General features: G+C 50.4%; 1 protein-coding gene and 2 long non-coding RNA genes across 26 annotated transcripts in view, besides 2 other annotated features; 1 reads left to right on the top strand and 2 right to left on the bottom strand.

Annotated features, from left to right (window-relative positions):
• LALTOP (lung cancer associated lncRNA targeting TOP2A) overlaps positions 1 to 15312 on the top strand; it is a 140518-nt gene that overhangs the window by 70496 nt on the left and 54710 nt on the right. For 2 of the 4 annotated variants that reach the window (NR_198948.1, NR_198950.1), the window contains exon 5: positions 7989 to 8380. This is a non-coding gene — a long non-coding RNA (lung cancer associated lncRNA targeting TOP2A). Of the gene's footprint in view, positions 1 to 7988; positions 11450 to 11990; positions 13103 to 15312 lie in introns of those variants that run through there. The other 2 variants (NR_198949.1, NR_198951.1) reach the window with 2 other exon arrangements.
• On the bottom strand, positions 369 to 2994 carry LOC102723730 (uncharacterized). Its single transcript, NR_168373.1, has 3 exons — positions 2370 to 2994; positions 2067 to 2186; positions 369 to 754 (listed from the first exon to the last, which is right to left on the bottom strand). It is a non-coding gene; the product is annotated as an uncharacterized LOC102723730 (long non-coding RNA).
• Positions 4005 to 4114: a silencer, noted in NCBI's record as "silent region_11103". NCBI's record gives its function as "represses an Ori minimal core promoter by ATAC-STARR-seq in GM12878 lymphoblastoid cells {active_cell/tissue: GM12878}" and the evidence as "EXISTENCE:reporter gene assay evidence [ECO:0000049][PMID:35858748]".
• TPO (thyroid peroxidase) overlaps positions 11251 to 15312 on the bottom strand; it is a 169627-nt gene continuing 165565 nt past the window's right edge. For 9 of the 21 annotated variants that reach the window (XM_047445652.1, XM_047445655.1, XM_047445654.1 and 6 more), the window contains one exon: positions 13096 to 14330. In XM_047445652.1, the coding sequence (XP_047301608.1) occupies positions 14009 to 14330 (322 nt within the window). In that variant the 3' untranslated portion in view covers positions 13096 to 14008. Of the gene's footprint in view, positions 12504 to 13095; positions 14331 to 15312 lie in introns of those variants that run through there. The other 12 variants (XM_024453090.2, XM_024453091.2, XM_024453092.2 and 9 more) reach the window with 3 other exon arrangements.
• Positions 13221 to 14420: an enhancer, noted in NCBI's record as "CDK7 strongly-dependent group 2 enhancer chr2:1544276-1545475 (GRCh37/hg19 assembly coordinates)". NCBI's record gives its function as "activates an origin of replication core promoter dependent on BRD2, BRD4, P300/CBP, MED14 and CDK7 cofactors, with strong dependence on CDK7, by STARR-seq in HCT116 cells {active_cell/tissue: HCT116}" and the evidence as "EXISTENCE:reporter gene assay evidence [ECO:0000049][PMID:35650434]".

Raw genomic sequence — 15312 nt, 5'->3', positions numbered from 1 at the left:
AGAAAGCCACCTGGCATGACCCCAGCTCCATGCCCAGGGCTCAGGGGAGGGTGTAAAACTTCAGCAAGCGTTGTTTGTGCAACCCCCAAACTTACCCCTCTTATTTCTATGTCTCTCATCACAGCTTATTCTGAGGCAAAGAGAGAGATACTCTCAGTGACTTACATTTTAGTGAGAATTTTAACACTAAGATTTTAAGCAAGACTTTCCACTGCCCTCTTCTAATATAGCAAGTCTTTTGTAATGCGGCTTGACCATGTAATGGGGAATTTATAGCTCATGTAACTTCCCTTTCCATATAGTTTAAAAATCAACATAATGCTGTAAGTAAGTGTAAGATAAAGGAAAAATAACATGAAAGTAATTTATAATCTATAACATGCACTTTAATATGACAATGATCACTGACAACTGCCTAGAAGGTTGGTTAAAGTTGCCTGATGCCTGCTAATGAAGATAAAAAAGAAGTAAAACAATTGTCAGTGGAACAGTCTCAATGCTTTTTACTTCCAGTTCCCATTGTGAATGCATGACTAAGACGTCCTGAGCAGGGTTTTGGAAGGTGTAGTGATCTTTGTGCAACGTGGAGAACCTTGGTATAAAGTCCCTGTGAAATGAAATAATTCAGATGTGAAGCTGTTGTAAGTTGAGATCATTTTGCACCTTGAGAGGAATGTGGCCGTGTGGCTTGAGTCACAAGGTGTGAAGCTGCAACTTCTTTGATTCTGGGTCAAATCTCTTCCTCATTCTTGTCCTGTAAATGATTAGAAAGGACTGACTGGTACCATAGATGAGGCCCCTCAAGACGATTACTCCTCCTTGTGGAAAGTTAAAGCGAGTTTCCTTGGAATGCAGCAAGCTGTGAGCAATCCAGTGAAATAGATTTAACCTGTGACCTCCTTGAAACAGGCTGTAGCCCTGTCATACTTCTGTCTCTGCTTATAAAATGAAACTTTAACTTCTCACTTTAAAAGCAGAGCCCATTCATCTAGAGTCTGTGTTTCCAAGGTGATGACCCTCAAGCTTTGCACTCAAATAAACTCTATACTGAATCATCTTTTCCAAATTTCATTATTGACGATTGGCATTTTGCTAACCACAAAGGGATGTGAAGTGGGCCTCCAGTGATCCCCATTACATCACCAACAGCCAGAGCCTTGCTGTCAGCACACATGGCTTGGGTTCACCGGACCTCGCTGGAGTCAACACGGACCTCTGGGAAGGATCTTCTCGGGTCCGAACCTCCCAGCTTGTTGAAGTTCTGACTTTTATTTGAGCCACACAAATTCCTAACTCGATAGGGCTGGAAGACCTACTGCAAGCTTGGAGTTTTGTTTGTTATTCTTCTGGGATTCTGCTGACCCCAGATTCAAGACTTTGATTTTTTTTTGAAGTTAAGGTTCTGTTTTGAATTATTCATTAGAGTTTCTAGAACCTTTTGTCCCATTTGAAATTTTGGTCAGGAAGAAAACAGTTTCTCTTTGAAAAGAGAAATTGAAGCTATGTGGATTGAGCAAAATTTGTAATGTTTGAAACTGGCCAGATTCTGAAGGCCAATTCAATAAGCAAATGTAAACTTCCTTCTCAAGTGACCAGAATTATAAAAGGTCCTCTAGGAGGACGAGGTAAGGCCCAGAAGGGAAGGACAGTGTACCTCCTAACTGAAAAAGGCCCTGAATGATAGCCACGTGTCATGTTAATAAACAATGAAGATGCTTTTATGAGAAAGGCTGCATTACAGGCTCGTATAGCCTTAGACAGACTCACTGCAGCCCCAGAGGGAACCTGCACCATCACAAAGACTGAACGTCATGTCCCTAACCCAGATGAATCAGATAATGTCCCTAAATTAATTACCGATATGAAAACCCAATAACAAAACTTTCAGATCCAAAACCTCTCCACACAGTTGGTTAAGCAGCTGGTTTAGGTCTTGGGGAACTTGGCAGAAGCAGCTGTTAATCAATCGTTGGTTGGGTTCTGGCCTGTTTTGTCTTCCCTGCTCTGGCATTGGTGTGCAATGGAGTCAGTTCACAACTGAAGATACTAAAATAATCGTCACTCACAGAATCCCATTAACGGACAATGCAGCTGTGTAGCCTGACCAAGGTCACCACGTCACTTCCTTCATGTGGCTCCAGGTTCGGCCTATGCCCCGTCAGTTCTGTACAGCTTGGCACATGGCCCTAGACATGGGAGACAACGTCCTAGGAGTGAACCTTCCTAAGTATCTGGGGCTAAGCCCCTAAACATACAGAGATTCCCAAACCATCTGCATTCAGCTACTAAGCTTTCTTCAAAAGGATCATGTTGATGTTGAAAAGGGGAGATGTGAAATTAATCCAAACTGAAAGCTGTTGGAACCGTACCTGATTTTGAGCCTTGAGAGGAACGTGGCTGTGGGGCCTGCGTCGCATGGTGTGAAGCTGCACCTTCTGCTTCTTTATTCTGGGTCAAATCTCTTCCTCATTCTTGTCCTGTAATGATTAGGAAAGACTGAATGGTACCAGAGGTGAGACCGCCTCAAGACCATTACCCTTCCTTATGGGATGTTAAAACAAGCTTCCTTAGTGTAGCGAGCTGTGACCAATCAAGTCAAATCGCTATAACCTATGTCTTGATCTTGTTGGAAAATGCTGCAACCTGTTAAACCTCTGCCTCTGACTATGTAAATGAGACTTTAACTTTCCATTTTGAGAGTCTGTGTTTCCTATGTGACTATCCTCCAACTTCGTGTTCAAATAAACTCCACACTTCATCATATTTTTGGATTCTAAGTATTTAAGCTTGAAAATTGCAAAGACACATTATCATGTTTATGCGCTGTCAGCATTCTATGGAAGTTTAGTGCAATTAAAATCGGGAAAAGGGTCAGGTGCAGTGGCTCACACCTGTAATCCCAGCACATTGGGAGGCCGAGGTGGGCAGATCACCTGAGGCCAGGAGTTAGAGACCAGCTTGGCCAACATGGTGAAACCTCATCTTACTAAAAATACAAAAATTAGCTGGTATGGTGACAGACACCTGTAATCCCAGCTACTAGGGAGGCTGAGGCAGGAGAATAGCTTGAACCTGGGAGGCAGAGGTTGCAGTGAGCCGAGATCGTGCCACTGTACTCCAGTCTGGGCGACAGAGTGAGACTCCATCTCAAAAAGAAAAAAAAATTGAAAAGACTTTTTTGTTTCAGTGTACATTACAACCACTCAAATTAGTTATGGGTATACTTTTCTTGCCTTTTTTTCACAGTTTCTGCAGGAGGTGGGCTGCCTTGTGCTGGTCAGGATGTCAAGCACCTTTGGGACTCTGCCCATTAAACCACAGGGGATTTCCTCATTATTGCGACAATTCCATCCCCAGAAATATCCCACGTGCCTGAGGTGGCGGCCATCTCTTCGTAGGGAGACTGTCGGAGCTTCCTTTTAAACAGACTCTGCCCTGTCTCTGTGAAGACGTTCAGGTGCTGAGCACACGGAGGGCGGTGGGTGGGGGGACATGAGACTGTAGGCAGCTCTCTAGAGCCCCTTTCACACGTGGGTCGTCACCCACCGACTTTCGGATCTCTGGGAGTGGGAACTGCACAGGCTGGGATGTTGTTTGGGGTCATTGCACCGAGAAGTGTTCCATGTGCAATGTGGTTAGAATCTTGTCACCCTAGGAATGGAAGGTCTTCAAGACCATGGTATCCAACCCCTCCATCATGCAGATAGGGGACCTCAGGCCCTCAGGGCGATAAGAAGGAATCAGGCTTTCGAAGGTTAAGGAAGTGTCAAGTGCAAAACTCGGTCTCTGGAGCCCTGAGGTGGAGCCTCACCCTCACCCTGGCCCCGGCGTCCTCAGCCTGTGGGCGCCCAACTGCTCTGACGCAGCAACTGGCACGACCACCAGCCCCAGGGAGCAGCAGCGAGTTTCCAGGGTTAGGAATCACCCGGGAGACAGTAATTCAGACTCCCAGGCTCCACAGAAACCTGCAGGGACCTCGGGGAAAGGGAGCTTCGTCCTAAGGCTCCGCTTTGGGGAGAGGCTGGGCGGCCACTAGGTGGCGCTGCGGAGCCGCGTCTTCGGCCGCAGGTGCCCGCGCTTGGGAGCGGGAAGCCAGGCTGGGTCATGCCGGTGCTGTCACTGCAGGAGGCAGAGACCCCACATCCCGCAAAGACGGAGGGGCTGGATTCCACCAGCAGCTGAGCCCATCTCTCCGCCCTTAAAAATCAAACCACATCTTAGGACAATATCAGGCTTGCGAACGAAGCGTCCAGGGGTGGCCCACGTGGGAAGGAGGGTGAGGCCGTGGGCCCCCTCGGTCCAACCTCACAGCCTCTCTGCTCTCCCCACTTTCGAGGCAGATTTCTGGGAATTTGGGAGTTCAGAGGGAGGAGAAATAAGTCGTTTGTCAGCAGCCTGCTCCCTGATCTCCAAGGTCCCTAGAAGGACAGGCGCTCCTCACACGGCCAAGCCTGGCCCGGTCCAGGTCTCTCCATCCAGCAGCCCTGCGCTCTGTCTCTCCCTGTACACTTTCCTCCCTGCCTCCCTCCCTCCATTTCTCCCTTCCTTCCTTCCCTCCCCGCACAGGATCTGCCATTCCTTAGCTGTGAAATGCGGGCACAGGGCCTGTGATTGATTGCACTCTGGGTGACAGCAGTAGCAGTACCCTCAGGCAGGTCAGTTGACTCAACAGAACCAGGTCAAAGTCCCCCAGCCCACGGGTCCAGCTCAGTCAGCCTCTGCTGGTCTACAGGAGCCCAGCCCTGGAGCAGGGACACCTTTGCACCAACAGTGCTGCATGAGATGGGCTGGGGTGAGCCCCCAAAGCCAGGGCCTGATGGAGGCCTGCAGACCCAGCAGGAGAAGCCCTGCTGTCAGCTGCAGAAGAGAAGAGGCAGGTGTCTGGAGAGGGGGCGGGCGGTGTCCTATGGCAGGTGGAACTTGTCCCTATTTACGTGGCTGGGGTGGGGCCACAGCACAAAATGGATGTCCTGAAAAATTCGAACCAATCTGGAAAATGTGCATCCACCTCTGCACTATGCCTGTTCTGCACCATATGCCTGTTCTCTGCCTCCCTCTGGGCCAAGGCTTACCTGCCCTGCAGCCTCAGGAATGTCAGTCTGGTTTCCGAGAGAGGGACCTAGAAGCCACTGAGTAACTGTGACTGGAGGGACCTAGAAGCCACTGAGTAACTGTTACTGGCAGGCACTGTACTCATCTTTCTCCTTGGATTATCTCATGAAACTTCTCAATGGGAGCCATCAAAGCTTGGCCCCTCTGCTTTTCTCCTTGGGGTGGTCACTTTTATGCTCTCCCTGGAGCGCCTGTTAAGTATGAATCACTGCTCTAGGAAAAGAGCTGCCAGGCAGAAGGGCAGACTTGCACAGCCACTGGCTGCAGCTGCTCCGGGATCCAGTTACTTACCAGGACTGAGGACTGGAGGTACTCTGCAGACAGGTGCTGGCCCCGGGGACTGGGCTCAGCCTGGGATGAAACTCGCTCCTGTAGAGACCAAGGGTGGGTGAGGGCAGGAGGGAGGGGTGTGGGGCCAGTCCATCCCGGAGACAGTTTCCTTCTCCTTACCCATTGCAAGGCTCGTGGTGGACACCCCTGCACCCAAAGTCACACTGACAGGAGGGCATGGCACATGTGTTTAGCCAAAGCCTTCCGCCACACATGAGGACCCAAGGCCCCGGGAAACGGAATTCTTCTGCTAAGCCTGAGGAAGGAAGCAGGAACCAGGGGGTTCTGGGAGTGGACAGAAAGGCGTGCCCTGGAGCTGGTGAGCCGGGAGCCTGGCCAGGCCCCTTGGCAGAATCCTTCCTGGGTCTGTGCTGGGATCGTCCCCTGGGTGCCCAGCAGGACACAGACACTCAACCTTCCGGGAGAAGCGGGGAGGCAGAGAGCTACCCTCCCAGGTTTTACGGCTTGCTTTCAGGGAGAAGAGCCCTAGTTTCCATTATGGCCTTTGTAGTGGGAAGAAGGGTGAAGGCCAGAGAGGACTTCTTGCTTCTGTTGACTTCCAGATCTCCCTCAGCTCAAAGCAGGCCATTCACCAAGGTGCTGCATTTGGGGTACTGCGTTTTGAACCCCGATGGGGGAGGTAGAAAATGCATCTGAAATTGCCTGCAAAAATGGCAGTCATGAAAAGTGCATTACATTTTTTTTTAATGGTAAAGCAAAGAGGCTCTGACCACTGTTTCATTCTTTAAAGATTTTTCTTTAAAGATTCCCAAGAGGCGAGTTCCCTCGGTTTATTTTAAACAAGCTATTTAATGCTGTCTTATGATTTCATTGAGTTTTTATGTACATAAGTTAAACACTGACTAAAAATATTTATCCTTAAATAGTCTGTCACTGACCAATGAAGTGTCATTTTTTTGTTGGTAGAGTTTTTTTTTTTTTTTTTTTTTTTTAGATGGAGTCTCACTCTGTCACCCACGCTGGAGTGCAGTGGTGCGATCTCCACCTACTGGGTTCGTGCCATTCTCCTGCCTTAGCCTCCTGAGTAGCTGAGACTACAGGTGCCCGCCAGCACGCCCGGCTAATTTTTTTTATATTTTTTTAGTAGAGACGGGGTTTCACCGTGTTAGCCAAGATGGTCTCGGTCTCCTGACCCGTGATCCGCCCGCCTCGGCCTCCCAAAGTGCTGGGATTACAGGCGTGAGCCACCGCGCCCGGTAGTTCTTAAGGGTTGATTCCCCTTCACTGATCGGGTGAAAGAAAGCCCTTCCATACTCCTAAACAGGAGTGGTGGTGTGATGTCTGTGTGTGCAGGTGTGGTATGTGGTGTGTCTGTGTGGTGTGTGTGCAGGTGTGGTGTGTGTGTGGTAGGAAGTGTGAGTGATTTTTGACTGTGGGGACGTGTATGTGGTGTGTGTGTATGGTGGGTGGTGTGAGTGGTTTTGGGGGTGTGTGTGTGTGTGGTGGGTGGTGTGAGTGATGTTTAGCTGTGTGTGTGTGTGTGTGTGGTGGGTGGTGTGAGTGATTTTTGGGTGTGTGTGTGTGGTGGGTGGTGTGAGTGATTTTTGGGTGTGTGTGTGCGGTGGGTGGTGTGAGTGATTTGTGGCTGTGTGTGTGTGTGGTGGGTGGTGTGAGGGGTTTTGGGTGTGTGTGCAGTGTGTGTTTCTGTCTTTCTTTGTGTAATGCTTATCGATATACTCACATGACGTACTTATTTCACTGATCACAGGATTTCAGTTTTTGAGAGGTGTCTCTTCTTGACAGTAAATATTGATTATTTAAATTGTGCAAATGCAGAGTTAGTTAGGATTTGAGGTTTTATTCCAGAAAGTTCATGGCGATGTGGAAGGCTGGAAACTGATTGCCTGAAAGATATCCGAGTCCCTGGAACCTGTGAACGAGACCTTACGTGGAGAAAGAAAAAGGATCTTTAGAGGGAAAAGATTAAGGGTCTGGAGAACAGGAGAGCTGCCTGGACCACCTGGGGGAGCCTGAGTGCCACAACCCAGGCCCATTCCAAAGGGAAGTGGAGGGGTTTTCCACAGACAGAGGGAAAGGAGACGTGGAGGCAGCGGAATTGGAATGGGGCAGCCCCGGTCAGGTTTGCCTGGAGCCCCCAGAACCTGGAAGAGACAAGGAAGGGCCCCGAAGAGCCTCCAGAGGGAGCGCGGCCCCACAGACACCTCCACCTGGGAGTGCTGGACTCTGCCACGGGGACAGTGTCCATTCCCTGTGTGGGGCCACCCTGTGTGTGGGAGTCCATGACGCAACCCCGGGAAACCAACACAGGCAGAGACGGAAACCTGCAGGGTCTGAACCCCAAACCCAAGACCTACTTGTCTCTCCCAGCCCCAGGTCAAGTGCTCCCTCCCCGCTCCACCAGGGGTCGTGCTCCCACTTTCCCCAGGCCTGGAGCTGCCCCCAACCCCAAGAACAGTGCTCCCTCCTTGACTCCCAGGGATAGTGCTCCCCCTAACCCTAGGGATAGTGTTCCTCCACGACCCCCAGTCCGGTGCCCTAACTGCAGATTGCATTCTTGGTTGCAGGAAGTCATGAGCGAAGAGACCGTGAGCCTCTCCCAAACCCCGCATGTGCTGACATCTCCACGTGTGCTGTGTCCTGGGTAGGCTTTCTTCATAGACCGTGCTTCCGTCTGTCTGGAGTTTCCGCTTCATCCATCTGTCCACAGGGAGGACGCACACCCCTGAGTCCGAGGCCACACCACGCATTCTGTAGAAACTCTCACTGCCCAGGGAGCACACTTTATTAGGAAAGCTCCAGGTTCACAGAGGCTCTGGGCTCTCTCTGGGCCCGACGCCCTTCACTGTTTGAACTCAGCAGCTGCCTGCAGGTGCGGAGGACATGCACCTTCCAGCCTTTGTCCTTTCCTGGCCTTCTCGTCAATCTTACCGTCTGTCGGCCCTAAGTGGATGCTCGGGTAAGTAAGTCCGTAAGCAATGAGCAGTTCCTGTCCTTAGCATGTCTGGGGTCTGTGGCTTTTGCGAAGGCATCTGCAAAGCTATTGCTGACATGGATGTCATGAGGTTCTCTCCCTTATTCCAGAGCTCAGTAAGCCCACAGGGCACAAGGCTCTTGACATTCACAGCTGAGTGAGAAAGTGGTGATGTTTAACTATAAGCATGAAAAACCCAAAAAGTACAATAATAAGGTTTCCATGTGCAACGCATGTATCCAGCGCCCTGGAACGAAACAGACACGTGTGCTCTTTGAGCGGAAGGAAGATGCAGGTCAGGAAAAATGGTGATTCTGCTGTTTCCCAAGTCACCCAGCAGGTGGGGGTGTCTGCTCATGGAAACCCGCATTTGCTAGGATACAATTTCCCTCTTTCTTTTTCACGAAGGAAAGGTCAATTCACTCAGAAATTACATCCTTAGTGAGATACCTATGACTTGTAGGGCCCCATACACTCAGAACCCCCGCTCCTGGGGGACTGCTGGGTGAACGTGGTCCAACATGTGTAATATTCATAAGGAATGGGTGTTACAAGCCCAGCAGGCTGTATGGCTTTCATTAATTTGGCCAGAGTCATTCACGAATAGCAGAATGTTTAATATGGAAGCAGCAGCCACCCAAATAGCAAACACAATTTGGTAGAGATGTGGGCTGTTAGCGCCGTGGCAGGGGTGAGGCAGTCTTACCAAGTGCTGATGGTGAAGTGTGTTGTCATCTCTTCCTGAACTTAAATTTGTTACGTGACTCTAAGCAATTCACTTCCAATGCCTGGGACTCAGCTATTTCCTCTCCAAAATCAAGGGGCTGTACAGAGTGACCTTGGGGTGTTCTCCAGGGCTAACACGGTACCAATTATCCCAGTAAGAGGCCAAAGCCGCGGCCAGTTTGCCTGAAATTCTCCTGTGAGTGGCCCAACAGAAATAATCAAAGTGAGTGGATGGTGTGACAGACACAGAAAGACCTGGGAAGGAAGCTGACCAACTCCCTGGATACTTAGCCAGGCACAATCTTCTCAGTTAGATCTTTAAATCGATTGAGATTTGGCAAAATTGTTACAAATCCTGGCAGCATATCAACCAAGATCATTATACCCATTAAGTAACTAATACTCTAAAACTCTTTGACCCCAAGGAGTGTCAGGATTGTAGCACTGTGAAGATGCTGCAGACGAATTAAGGCTGATCCCATCATCGGGGATTGTCAAGGTTGTGAGCCATCAGTGTGTAATCATCCAGGGACTCTTAAAATATGTGTATCACTATAGTCAGGGCTCTGCAGTGAGACAGAACCAATAGGCTACATAGGTAGGTAGCTATATAGATAGACAGGTGATAGATAGATAGATAATAATAGATAAACAGATAGCTAGCTAGATGGATGGAAAGAGGATATTCAGTAGGAGAATGGGCTCATGTGATGGTGGAGGTGAGAAGTCCCAGGACAGCCTGTCTTAGAGTAGATAGATAGATAGATAGATAGATAGACAAACAGATAGCTAACTAGGTGGATGGAAAGAGGATATTCAATAGGAGCACTGGCTCATGTGATGGTGGAGGTGAGAAGTCCCAGGACAGGCTGTCTTAGAGCTGGACACTCTGGGATGCCGGTCATGTGACTCAGGACCCGAGTTGCAAGGCCTCAGAGCCAGGGAAGACAATGGCATGACTCAGTCCAAGGCTGAAGGCCTGAGAGCCCAGGGCAGGGAGTGCTAGTGCAAGCCCAGAGTCTGAAGGCCAAGAGGCTAGAGTGCTGATGTCCAAGGGCAGGAGAAGAAGGGTGTCCCAGCTCTAGGAGACAGACACAGCTACCTTTTAGTTCTATCCGGGATTGGATGGTGCCTACCCTGCATTCAGGCAGGTCTTCCCCCTCAGTCTGCTGACTCACAGCCCAGTCTCCTCCAAAACAGCTCATCCTCTTATCCATCCATCTAGCTGAGGCTGAGACAAGATCTCACCGGCCAGCTGGGCCTCCCTCCAGCCAGCCAGGTTGAGGCCTGGTGTTAACCATCACTATATGGCACTACTCCTTCTGGCTAATCCCAGAGGGCAGAGGTCATGCAGGCACCGCATCAAGCCAGGGTTCCTTGTTTTGGTGTCAGCAAGAGGCTCCGAGGTGGAAGGGAAGACCGCTCCCCAGTCAGTGTGTTCCAGTGCATGGCAGGGCAGCAGCTGGAAGTAGGAGGCCTGTGTTCCCTTCGTGGAAATGATCCTGAGGTTGGGCGGCCACCTCCCTTCACTGCCCAGAGCGGGTGCTGATGTGTTGTGCGTTGCTGCGATTCCCTGCGTCTCTCCTCACCTGCTGATGGGAACTCTCAGCAGCTCCTCTGCAGAAGCTGGGTCCTGTCCCTTCCCTGGGTGTTGATATGGTTTGGTCTGTGTCCCACCCAGTCTCATGTGGAATTGTCACTCCCAGTGTTGGAGGAGGGGCCTGTTGGGAGGCGGTGGGATCACAGGGTGGGTTCTCAGGAAGGGTCCAGCACCACCCCTCTTGGTCCTGTGCAGTGAGTCCCCTGCCATCTGGTGGTCTCCATGTGTGGCTGCCCCTCTGCCTCCCGGCTCCTGGCTCCCAGCCTGTGATGGGCCTCCTACCCTGCCCCTTCCACCATGACTGTGTTTCCAGAGGCCTCCCCAGAAGCCGAGCAGATGGCAGCACCATGCGTCCTGCACCACCTGCGCAACCCAGAGCCAGTTAAAACTCTTTTCTTTCTAAATGACCCAGTCTCAGTGGTTCTTTATGGCAGTGTGAGAACGGGCTGCTTACCGGTGTGATAAGGGCAATTTGTGAAATTTGCCAGGATATTTTTAATATTGTTTTAATTATGAAATCATTCATGAGTTTTATTTTAATATTGTTTTAATTATGAAATCATGAGTTTTACATGAACAAAACTAAGAGTTTGGGAACACACAGAACAGGATGGCCTGGCACCTAGGGAAAACAACAGTCTGGTATTTTTGGGTCACAAAAGTTATAAAAAGCAAACCATGCTTTCTCTACATAACAGTAGAGCGAAATAAAACATCCTGAAGCAAAATGTTCATAGCCCTCCTGTGCCACTGTTGTCATTCGTGGGTGAGATCATTCAGTGCTGCCTCGATGGTCTGTTTTATCCATGAATTAGTTACCACTCTCTTCTCTTAGTGCAGGTAGAACTCCAGGTCAGATGTGTCTGAGTTTGCTTTCAATGCCGAAGGACTCCTAACTATTGCCTTGCGTGAGGCTGAGGGCTGCCTGGGCTGGGACCCAGCACTCTGGAATTCAGCTGCTTCACATGTGAAATGAGGACGGCAGCTTTACAGGGTCGCGTGGCTAACGGTGCCCCCGAGACTGCCTTGTTGAGTCAGGGAGGGAGTGAGTTTCCTCCGGGATCACTGGGCTGTGTTCCCCGTGAGTGAGGGTATAAGGAGGAGTAAGAGCAGTGTGCGGCAGGGCGGCTGCTGGAGGCAGAAGCCTGGGGTCTGAGGCTCATGTGTTGGTGAATCTCTGGAGGATGAGACAAGTCACTTTGCCTTGTTGGTCCTTAAGGCTCCAGCCTCTCCCTCAGAATCACTTTCCTCCTCCCACCGGCCCTGCAGGAAGCCAGGAGTGCTCTTCCCAGGAGAAGAGGGAAGCCAGATGTAGGCCCTGTGGACACCTGGTGATGGGCAGGGGGTGTGGAAAAACCAGTGCTGGAGGGACCGCCGGGGCAGAGTGCAGACGAGCACGGCATCAGAGATGCCAGAAGGTGGAGACAGGAGGATTGCAAGAGTGGTGTTTCCAGGGTTCACAAAATAAAGATGTGTAATCTGTAAATACATTTTAATGGCAAAGCCCCAGAAGGAACAAATCAGGCAATGTTTACAAGAAAAGGCCAGACAAATGCAGCTATAACATTTATTCATCCATGCCTGAGAGTAACTACGACATGGTACTAGATTTACCCGTGTTGGGAAAACAGTCGTCCTGCTGATTTCGGATTTGCCTGTGTTTGGAAAAGAGTCGTACGGTGATTTTGGGAACATGAAGCTGTTCTGCAGTGTCCTGCCACTTTGCCCTCAGAGGGCTCTCGGCAGCCTGTGAGTATCCCGGCCTTCCATCCCAGCACTCTCCTGCAAAAATGCAGAACAAACATTAATAACGTCTGAATTCTGACTGCTCCAGTAACAGCACACACTTGATACAAGACAGAAGGGCCTGGACAGGAGCTCTTTTCACAAAGGACCGCTGGCGAGATGAGCCATCCTTCTTGCTTGTCATGCTGGAGGGAAGTTTCTGGCTTCCGGACAAATGCTTGTTTGCAGGAGGCCACAGAGGATCCACGTGGCAAAGGTTCCTACTCACAGAGTGGGATCTGCAATCCGCAGGCAGGGTCCTTCAGGAAGAAGCCGTGCTGAGCACACAGGTCCCTGCGACCACAGATGAACAGAACGCCTGGCCTTGCCCCTGGTGTCAGTCAGACTAATTAGGGGCCCAGGGGACTTGCTGGCACTGCCCTTGCTGTGGCTGGAAAAGCTATTTAAATTCACAAAGAGCCTCACTTCCAGGCCAGGTCCTTTTGGTTCCATGCGTGGGAGCCAGGTGCAAAGACGAATGTGCTCTCAGCAGAACGACCCTGGGCTCTGCTTATCTCCGAGGACAGGATCTAATCTCACACTGAATTTCAGAAGGGAGACCGATCATGTTGGCAATGCCCCCCTCCTGTATGCAAGTAAGTGACTTTGTTTAAATTAAAATTTGTATTTTTAGTTGACAAATACTAACTGCATATATTTATGTTTTAAACATGGTTTTGATACCTTTACATTGTGGAGAGATTATATCAAATTAATTAACATATCACCTCACATCTTTTTTTGGCAGTTAGAACATTTAAAATCTATTATTTTAGTGGGTGGCTGTGGTCCCAGCACTTTGGGAGTTTCAGACTGGAGGATCTCTTGGGCCTAAGGGCTCAACACCAGCCTGGGCAGCATAGCGAGGCTGCATCTCTGTAAAAAATTTAAAAATTAGCCAGGCATGGTGGTGAGCGCCTGTAGACCCAGCCACGCAAGAGGCTGAGGCAAGAGGATTGCTTGAGCAGGAGGGTCGAAGCTGCAGTGAGCTATGTTTGTGCCACTGCACTCCAGTCTGGGCGACAGAGCAAGACTCTATCTCAAAAAAAAAAAAACCTATTGTTTTAGCAATTTTGAAACATGCGATCATTATGAGGAAGCGTGCGCCCCATGCCGTGCAGCAGACCTGAGGCGCCCTCCTCCTGCCTGAGACTTTGTGCCTGTGACCAGCACCTCCCCACTCCCCTCTGGAGGCCACTGTTCTGCTCTCTGCTTCTCTCAGTTCAAAAGTCAGACTTACACAAGTGAGTTTTTGATATGGCCTCCCTTGGGGTTCTGCATACAAGGTAAGGGGGTAAAACATAAACATACACATTTTTCCACACTGATTATAACTATTCCACTTAAAAATCAGAATTTAAAAGTCAGGGTTTTGCTTCAGCTTCTCCTTCCTCTCCTGTGCTTCCAGCCGATCCTCAGATTAAGTGGAAGCAAACGCCTGAAAGTGAGCCCTTAGTTTTGGAACCGGTTTGTACAAATGGAAGGCATCTTCATTCCTCTCACTAAGCAGGCTCACATTCTGGCTCACTGTCATTAGCTTGTAAATAAAACCTCCCGGAGGAAGGTGCAGAACGGACTAGGAAACACGGAGTAAACAGAAATATGCAGGGAGCCCCAGCAGAGCTGCTCCGACACCCAGATCCTGTCCAACCACTGCGGTGGCAGCTGGAAACATGCGGCATGGTGTGGCCCACCTGCTCCGAGTCCTGAGCTGCGGCCCGCTGCGGTGAGGTCCCTACGGCCTGGTGCTTTCCGCATCTCAGCTCGGGAGTTCCTCCGCCTGTCTCCGAGATGGGCAGTGTGGATTTAGTGCCAGTGCGTGTCCTGTGGGAGACACGTGTCCAGTTATCGGGAGAGGGTCCGGCACCGTGACTGTGGAGGGTAGAGAGCACGGCACGAGCGACGGCAAGGCAGCCGTGCTTGTCTTTGGCAGGAACACTCCAACCCACTTTCATTTCACACTTCAGTCAAGTCGATCATAATCTGATATATTTTGGAAAAAATTAGCACTGCTCTCTTCATAGGAAAAATGATTTTAGAATTTGCAGCCAAGAGGACCCTGTCTCCACGCAGCTGAGCTGGGGCTTTCTTACAACAATCATGCAAGGGACGCGGGCTGCAGTGAGGATTTCCCCCCAGTCACTGCCAAGAGACGCATCCAAATGACAGACAACGTTAGGCTTTTCCTGGGTCGGGCGCCATCCCTGTACAGGCAAAGGGCCCAACAGCATCTTCAACCTGAGCCTGAAGACCCCAGCCCCGACCTGGAGATGAGGGGGAGGAAGCGCCGTCCCAGAGGAGCAAGGGTGGAGGCCCCCTGGTCTCTGGGAGGCGTGGAGAGCTGGGGCCGGTGCAGGAAGGGAAGCTCTGGTGAGGCTGGGACCTTTTGAGGAGGGAAGAGCAAGTTACCCGGAAATACATCACAAATACTGTGGGATTTAACTGTAAGTACAAAACAGCTTTTCCATCAGAACTTAACAGCTACTATATTTTCCAGCTGTTTGTTTCCCTTGATTCTGCGTTTTTACCTGCCCCCGCCCCCATTCCCCAAATACTGAGCTGCTGGACTCCTTCCCTTGCCTTGGTGGTCATTCATCCCTGAACTCTGCATGGCACCATCATCACCGGTCCTGAGCATTCCCCGCCCCGCCTGCCTGAAGAGGACCACAGGCCCTGGAGGTGGCTTCCCGTGACCCTGTGTCAACGCGGCAACGTTAGACAATACTGTAATACCTACAAACAAACAACTCCCGAGGTCCTCCTGGGGAGCGCAGTCCCCGCACCACAGCGCCCTCCGCATAGCCAT

This window comes from Homo sapiens, chromosome 2, assembly GCF_000001405.40.
Source record: "Homo sapiens chromosome 2, GRCh38.p14 Primary Assembly".
Classification (NCBI taxonomy): domain Eukaryota; kingdom Metazoa; phylum Chordata; class Mammalia; order Primates; family Hominidae; genus Homo; species Homo sapiens.
This window is presented reverse-complemented; position numbering and strand designations above follow the sequence as displayed.